The sequence below is a fragment of the Homo sapiens genome, chromosome X (assembly GCF_000001405.40).
Source record: "Homo sapiens chromosome X, GRCh38.p14 Primary Assembly".
NCBI lineage: Eukaryota > Metazoa > Chordata > Mammalia > Primates > Hominidae > Homo > Homo sapiens.
Window position 1 is genome coordinate 34,337,403 of NC_000023.11, and position 9,248 is coordinate 34,346,650.

General features: G+C 35.6%; 1 long non-coding RNA gene across 1 annotated transcript; it reads left to right on the forward strand.

Moving 5' to 3' along the window:
* The first annotated feature begins 290 nt into the window (after positions 1–290).
* Positions 291–8,327, forward strand: LOC107985674 (uncharacterized). Its single transcript, XR_001755823.2, has 3 exons — positions 291–384; positions 1,540–1,631; positions 6,558–8,327. It is a non-coding gene; the product is annotated as an uncharacterized LOC107985674 (long non-coding RNA).
* Positions 8,328–9,248: the final 921 nt, after the last annotated feature.

The following is a 9,248-nucleotide window of genomic DNA, read 5'->3' on the forward strand; positions in this document are numbered from 1 at the left end:
ATGAAATGAGGAACTCAGTTTATTAAAGAGATCAATATCCCACAGATTAGCCTAAGTTACAATGTAATCAACCAAATTTCATTTTTTTCTTTTAAGTTTTGTGTTTTGCTGTTGTATTTTTTGTCTTTTTGCTTATTTATTTTTTGTTTCTTTGTGGACATTTACAATGGTTTTAGAAGCACGGGAAAGTCTGCCCTCCTACAATAGAAAATTGCCACTTTCTCTCTCATTGATGTTGAAATCCCACATTTAAATATTCACTGTACAATTTTACTTTCCTTTGCTCCTCTTTTAGTGGCACTCCTCCATCTCTCTGGGAGATCCAACACTTGAGGGCTTATGAGCCGTTTCAGTATGAATGAAAGGGAGAAGAACAGAACAGAGGTAAGAGGCATCGAGAAGGGTAAAGAAAAATGAGATCAATAAAGACAACCACAGGCTATACAGAGACAGGCCTTTTTCTATTTCTCAGTCCTACTTGGAGAAGCTCTGTTTAACAAAATTTAGAAAAGCCAATGGGCAAAGTATTTCTGCTTACTGCTTTATTGTCTATCCCAGTGTAAGCCAGAAAATGAATTAGTCACCACCTGTTTAATTAAAAAAATTAATTTAACACTTTAAATTTTTAAATAAAAGTTGAAAAATAAAAATCATATCTTTCTTTTTTAGTTGATATATCATCTGGATTCCAAAACATGATATTCTGTTTTCTTTGGGACATAAGAATAAATGTTTTGATGTTTGTGACTATGTGATTAATTTGCCACATGGACTGGGAACAAAAAGATTTCAATACTTCTTAATATTTAAAGTTCAACCATTTGTCTTTGATAAAATGCTGAGCTCAGCAGTTCATATTTTTCTCATTTGTAAGATAGAGGGACTGAAATAGCTCATGAATGGGTTCTCTTTTACTCCTTTAAGAGTACATGACTCTAAGTCAGATGTTCATTTGATTATTCAGGAAATACTTTATGAATAATGCAAGATAATTATATATGACTCTTCTCTTTTATACATAGCAATTTTTTTTCTAAATTTTTTCAGTGAAGGAGTAGATGTAAGTATCTATTTTGCTAGAAATGAGGATTACAGCAAAGTCTAAGGTTTCACTTAGTTTAAAAAGTTGAAGATAAAAGAGTGAATATTGTTAATATCAACATTATTTAGAAAATAGGTTTTACATCTCACAGATTCCATTCAGAAACTCATAATGTTTTAAATCATCCAGAAATGCTCGAAGGGCAGACAACTTATTCTGTGTGTGACACTTATAATAACACAAAACTTTGATTTCTTAAATATGATTTCTAACTCAAACTCCTTTATTTACTCTGGCAAAACATATAAAAATAAAACAAAGTTAAATTAAGTGACCAAAAAAGATGTAAATTGCCTGTGTTAGATAATATTTAAAATATAACTTCCTGATGTTAGAATGCCCTAACTTGAGAAAGGTGTCTGAATCTGCTATAAAGAAATACCTGAGGCTTGGTAATTTATAAAGAAAAGGGATTTATTTTGCTCACTGTTCTTCAGGCTATAAAGCATGGCTTCAGCATCTGCTTCTGCTGAGAGCCTCAGAAAGCTTCCGGCTATGGCAGAAAGTGAAGGTCAGCAAGCATCACATGGTAAGGGGGAAGGAAAAAGAGAGGGGCGGGAGGTGCCAGACTTTTCTAAGCAACCAGATCTCACATGAACTAATAGAGCAACAAGCAATAACTCACTAATTACCAAGGAAAGGGCACCAAGCCATTCATGAGGGATCCTCCCCCATTACCAAACATCTCCCTTTAGGCCCCACCTCCAAAATTAGGGATCAAATTTCATCACGAGATTTGGACGGGACAAAAATCCAAACTATATCAACAGGCAAATTAGTAGATGAATTATTTAAAAGCTTGCTATCTCTACAGTTTGATGCTTTTAGATAGGATTTAATCAATCAACAAATAGTTATATCCAAAGTTACTTAGACTAGTGGTCTTTAAATTGTGGTTCTTGGAATTTTGAGATTTTTCACAAGGAGATTTAGAAATTTACCAAAGAGGTAGGGATACAAATAACCAAAGCAGCATTTATTTAAAAGTTTGCAAATTCATTGGATTACATATAAAATTTCGATTTAAAGGTGGAATATGTTGCTGTAAACATTTGGATACCACTGATTTATGCGTAAACAATATTTTCAATTATATAGATTAATAAGGTAATTGATTAAAAATAATATCTATTGTATATTGGGCATTTATTAAATCCCAGGCACTGTTTGAGTGCTTAAGGTGCACTAACTTACTTCATCCTAACACCAATCCAGTGGTCATTATCTATATTTTACAGATGTAGAAATGAAGACACTGGACAATTAAATAACTGTTCCAATTAGTAAATAAAGAAACCATGACCAAACTCAGACTATTTAGCTCCAGAGTGTTCACTTTTACCTATGACAGTAATTTACTTTCTTAGGACCTCCTTAGGATAATGGACATTTTTGAAAGCTAGACAAAAGTGAGAAAGTAGAATAAATTGGGTTTCTGTTCAGAAAAACAGCACTACAAAAGTGGCATTAAAATATTCATCTAGTAATGAATGTAGGATAAATATATGATAGCAGAGCCTAGGTTTGGGTATTTGGGCTTATTCATTCATTCACTCATTGGACAAATACTCAATGAGCCAGTCACTCTCATTTGCACTTAGGTTACGTTGATGAACAAAGCATACAGAAAATTCTGTCCTCTTGGACCTTGCCTTCTAATGGAAACAGAGACTAGAGTAGTTTCCTGGGCTTAAGGGCCTGGCCTAGGAAGTTAGCAATAAGCCTGTGAAGTAAAGAATAGGTTAAAACTATTTAAACAATTTTTTTGTACCTAAAAGTTATGACAATGGTAGAAGGATGGGAAAATCAGAAAGGAGGACTAGTTTTGGAAAAATGAATTGTTTTGAATAGCTGATTTTGAAGAAATAGCAAGACATCCATTTGTAAATATTTAGAAGGCAGTTAGCAATAGAAAGCTGAGCTTTAGTGAGATTAAACTACATAGATACCAGAGTCATTAACATTATTATTAGGTAATATTCATCCCAATGGCAAGTTTTAGTTGGAATCACAAAATCGAATAATATTCTTATGGAGAAGGAAAGTCAGCAAGCCAAACACTGAAGATTTGTGAATTCTCAAAATAATAGGAAAGGAGAAGTAAAAAAGATGCATTCAAAGTAACAAACTGATTTGCTGAATATGTAAGAGGAGTAACAAGGTAGAATATAGTCACAATTCAATGTAAATGTAACAGTCAACTACAGTCAATAAAATATCAAAAGCAATGGGGATTTTAAAATAAATGAGTCAGAAGGAAAACCTTTTATTTGGGAATCCTAAAGACATTATTGATGTTCAAAATAAAATCTTGCTAGAATGTTGAATGAAATCAGGGTAAAATGAGAAAAAAAAATGCATAAATGCCACTTGTTTTACACATATCCTAGTACAAGCTAGGGGAGAAGTAGATTATTAGGAAGAAAGATCTCTTTTATTTTGGTAGTAAGGGCATCAAGAACAGAAAAGTATTTGGAAACCACAAATAAGCTGATGATTACAGAAAACATTACTTAGCTTTTAAAAAGCTGTGAAACAAATAGCTTACTAAGATGCAGACTAATTCCTTAGTCTTTCCACTACTATATGCTACTACCAAGAGAGTAACAGAAATCTGTCACATATTTATAACAATGCTTGCTCATTTTCCCAGCAATTTTTTCTTAATCTACTGCCTTTTGCTTCCTTGACTTGGCAATACAATAGGATTTTAGTGCAGGGACAATAGAGCAATAATGCTAGACTCATTTATAATCCAAACTTTTCAAACATTTTCCCACATGAAAAGCAGTTAGGATTAATTAAAAAGAAAGCAAAGTGATAAATAAGAAATCTTCCTCTTATAAAGACTTTTAAAAACCTTTGTTCTGAAAAGCAGATATGAATCACTGACAGCATACATTCAGATATTAGCTAGGTGCACTCAAGCTTTCTTCCAGGGTAATTCTGCCCCCTACAGTCTTATCAAATGAATGAAGGTGACTTTAGCTTGAAAGAAATCTGCTAAGTCTCTGATTTAGGCAGGAAGACAATATTTGGTTCATAAAATATCCCTGACCTATTAAATTTGAGGACCCTCTAACATAAAAGGTAACTTCACAGAATTTAACAAGTGGGCATATGAGTGGCTGTGTGATAACCACTGGAAAACAAAATTAAGTTTTATGAAAATCTAATTTTGTTCTCTAGTACTGAAAACATTATTGGTGACAATGTTGAATTTTACCAAAGCCCAATAATTCTGGAAACTAGCAAAGATTAGGAAATTCTCCTGCCTTTTGTTACCCCAAAATAGCTTATTGCAAAGATCTATCCTTCCCAGTAGATAAGATTCAGGGATGCCTCCCCTTGTTTTACTATGACATGGTCAAACAAAGATCCTCCAAATTCGCATATTTTGCCTCATAAATTATTAACTGAATTGCTTGGCCCTACTGATCAATCAGAAAAAAAAACTGCTTGCCAAGTTTCTCTTTCCTTCATGCCCCTGAACTCTGACCCACCATTAACCTGAGCCAAACCATAAACCTTCCGGAGAACAGGCTGGCCTCAGAGTAAAACATTTGATCTAGGATCTGATCGAGTGACCCTTTAATCTTACTTCCTCTGTTGTTTCTAGCTTTGTCTACTCCTTCCTATTGAAGAACAGCCCTTTTTGCCTAAACTTTGAGATGCTTGCAGGTATTACGATCAGAGCTTTATCCCTATTGTGATAGTTCTCCTCCCCCTATTGCAACAGACGTTCACCCCTACTTTGCAATAATCTTTTCAAATAAAGTCTCTCCTTACTAAGTTGAGATTTCTTTTCACTTGACATTTGACAACTAGTAGAAGGAAGTAAATATTGCTGCATTTAGATATATGTGATTGTTGAGAATTGAAGACTCTAAGTACTAATTTGATGTATTTAGTGAATTATAAGTGTTAAATAATATAACAGAGTGCACGAAGATATATATATTTAAGCATCTGCTATGTGCAAAGGTATCTTCTACCAGGACACAATTAAACAAATCCATTTGTTCAGAAAGCACATACGTTAGTGCAGAAGACTACAATAAAATCATCATGAGATGAGTTGACGGAAATATACACAAAATGTTATGCAAACATTTGATAAAGTCATTTATTTTGAATGCCTAGCGTGGGTAGCAGGAAAATAATGTGACAGGAAAAGTTTTACAATGGAGGTGATATCTGAGAAGAGCATTAAATGTTGAGACATAGGGTTTTGTTAGATGAGCAAACTGTGAATAAGCTGCATTTGGCATTGGGAACAAAGTGATCACAGAAAAAACAAGATATAACATGGCTTGTCTGGATAGTAAAAGTAATTGGAATTGATGCAATTGTAGAGCATGAATGCAAAACAATTGAAGGGGAGCTGGAAAGATGAGCAAACACAAAGCAGCCTTTTACAAAACTATGCAGAATGGGCACTGCACAACTCCAAGGAGTGTCATTCATATTGATGTCAATTTGAATGGCTCTTCCTGGAGTTGTGTATAGCCATATGCAATAATTAATAGAGTATTTTTATGCTAAGTGTATATGGTAAGATGAGTCTGGTAGCAAATAACAGAAACCAAATCTGTCTGCCTTCAGATTCAAGGGGATTAATGGGAAGGACATCAGAGGTTCATGACAATGATATGGGGCTGGAGGAGAGCCAGGGCATTTTGGCAGGTTACAGAACAGGAAGTTAGAGAGCCAACTTTTAGCAGGAGCAATTTGGCCAGAGTGCTACTGACTGAGGTACAGGGTACTACCAACATCATTGCTGTGAAATAATTGTAGCCATCTCTCATTGTTGCAGTATTTTGTTCTATATTCAATCTTCTAGGTGAGAAGCCTCTCACCAAGCCTGAGCTGGGCTCTTCTCAATGGAAAGTCTACAGAGTAGAGATTATCCTCAAAATTGTAAGGAGGTACTGGACATGAACAACCAAACATGAGAAATATTTTTGAACATGACCTAAAGCTTAGACTTTATTTTCTAAGGAAGGAATTGGCAAACATTCTCTTAAAGGATCAGATAGTAAATAGTTTAGGCTTGCCAGCCATATGGTCTCTGTGGCATCTAATCAATTCTTGAAAGCAGCTATGCACAATACCAAATCAATGGGCATGATTATGTTCTAATAACACTTTGTTTACCAAATAGGTGGTCTGACTACTGGTATTAGCTTGCTAAAGACCCCTGTTCTCAGAGATGTGAAGGCTTTACAGAGTTGCAAGTCTTTGTCATATGTAATCAGTTGGCCCTTTCCTCTATGACTAGATGAGGTGGCAGCTATGAAAGGAACAAAAAGTCATAGTCTGTGTTCTTAATAAAGTTATACAGTAATAGATGAGGCCAAAATAAAATATACAATAATTGTAATACTTTATTGCACATAATAACAAAATTAATTTGGAAGTATTCACATTTTCTCATCTTGCCCCCAAATTGTAGAATTACAAATCTAGTTTAGCCCAGGACCAGATGGATTCACAGCCGAATTCTACCACAAATTCAAAGAAGAGCTGGTACCATTCCTTCTGAAAATATTCCAAACAATTGAAAAGGGGGGACTCCTCCCTAACTCATTTTATGAAGCCAGCATCATCCTGATACCAAAACCGGGAAGAGACACAACAAATAAGAAAACTTCAGGCCAATATCCTTGATGAACATTGATGAGAAAATCCTCAATAAAAAACTGGCAAACCGAATCCAGCAGCCCATCAAAAAACTTATCCACCACAATCAAGTTGGCTTCATCCCTGGGATGCAAGGCTGGTTAAACATATGCAAATCAATAAACATAATTCATCATATAAACAGAACCAAAGACAAAAACCACAGGATTATCTTAATAGATGCAGAAAAGGCCTTTGATACAATTCGACATTCCTTCATGTTAAAAACTCTCAATAAACTAGGCATTGATGGAACACATTTCAAAATAATAAGAGCTGCTTATGACAAACCCAGAACCAATATCATATTGAATAGGCAAAAGCTGAAATCATTCCCTTTGAAAACCAGCACAAGACAAGGATGCCCTCTCTCACCGCTCCTATTCAACATATTATTGGAAGTTCTGGGCAAGAGAAAGAAATAGAGTATTCAAATAGGAAGAGAGGAAGTCATGTTGCATCTGTTTGCAGGTGACATGATATTATATTTAGAAAACCCCATCATCTCAGCCAGAAAACTTCTTGAAATGATAAGCAACTTCAGCAAAGTCTCAGGATGCAAAATCAACGTGCAAAAATCACAAGCATTCTCTTACACCAACAATAGGCAAGCAGAAAGCCAAATCACGAATGAACTCCCATTCACAATCCCTACAAAGAGAATAAAATACCTAGGAATAGAGCTAACAAGGAATGTGAAGGACCTCTTCAAGAAGAACTACAAACCACTGCTCAAGGAAATAAGAGAAGGCACAAACAAATGGAAAAACATTCCACCCTCATGGACAGGAAGAATCAATATCATGAAAATGGTTATACTGGCCAAAGTAATTTATAGATTCAATGCAATTCTCATCAAACTACCACTGACATTCTTCACAGAATTAGACAAAAACTATTTTAACTTTCATGTGGAATCAAAGAAGACCCGTATAGCCAAGGCGATCCTAAACAAAAAGAACAAAGCAGGAGGCATCACACTACCTGACTTCAAACTATACTACAATGCTACAGTAGCCAAAACAGCATGGTACTGGTACCAAAACAGACATATGGACCAATGGAGCAGAACAGAGACCTCAGAAAGAACACCACACATCTACAACCATCTGATCTTTGATAAACCTGACAAAAACAAGCAATGGGGAAAGGATCTCCTATTCAGAAAATGGTGCTGGGAAAACTGGCTAGTCATATGCAGAAAACTGAAACTGGACCCGTTCCTTACACCTTGTACAAAAATTAACTCAAGATAGATTAAAGACTTAAATGTAAAACCCAAAACCATAAAAACCCTACAAGAAAACCTAGGCAATACCATTCAGGATGTAGGCATGGGCAAAGACTTCATGACACAAACACCAAAAACAATTGCAACAAAAGCCAAAATTGACAAATGGAATCTAATTAAACTAAAGAGCTTCTGCACAGCAAAAGGAACTAGCATCAGAGAGAACAGGCAACATACAGAATGGGAGAAATTTTTTGCAATCTACCCACCTGATGAAGGTCTAATATCCAGAATTTACAAGGAACTTAAACACATTTACAGGAAAAAAAAACAACCCCATCAAAAAGTGGACAAAGGATATGAGCAGACACTTCTCAAAAGAAGACATTTACACAGACAACAAACATATAAAAAATGCTCAACAGCACTGATCATCAGAGAAATGCAAATCAAAACCACAAAGAGACACCATCTTACGCCAATCAGAATAGCGATTATTGAAAACTCAAGAAACAACAGATGCTGGCGAGGCTGTGGAGAAATAGGAACTCTTTTACACGGTTGGTGGGAATGTAAAGTATTTCAACCATTGTGGAAGACAGTATGGCGATTCCTCAAGGATCTAGAACCAGAAATACCATTTGACCCAGCAATCCCATTACTGAGTATATACCCAAAGGAATATAAATCATGCTACTATAAAGATAAATGCACATGTATGTTTATTACAGCACTGTTTACAATAGCAAAGACATGGAAGCAACCTAAATGCCCATCAATAATGAGACCGGATAAAGAAAATGTGGTACATATACATCATGGAATACTATGCAGCCATAAAAAGGAATGAGATCATGTCCTTTTCAGGGGCATGGATGAAGCTGGAAGCCATCATCCTCAGCAAACTAACACAGGAACAGAAAACCAAACACCGCACGTTCTCACTCATAAGTGGGAGTTGAACATTGAGAACATGAACACAGAGAGGGGAACAACACACACCAGGGCCTAGTAGGGGGTAAAGGGTGAGGGGAGGGAATTTATAGGATGGGTCAATAGGTGCAGCAAGCCACCATGGCACACATATACCTATGTAACAAACCTGCACGTTTCCCCACTTTTTTTTTAGAAGAAATAAAGAAAATAAATAAACTGTGGCTTGGAGATATGTTTGCCACAATGGAGTTTTCATTTAAGGAAGTCTGCCTGTATCCTACACCAAGCATGTAATAC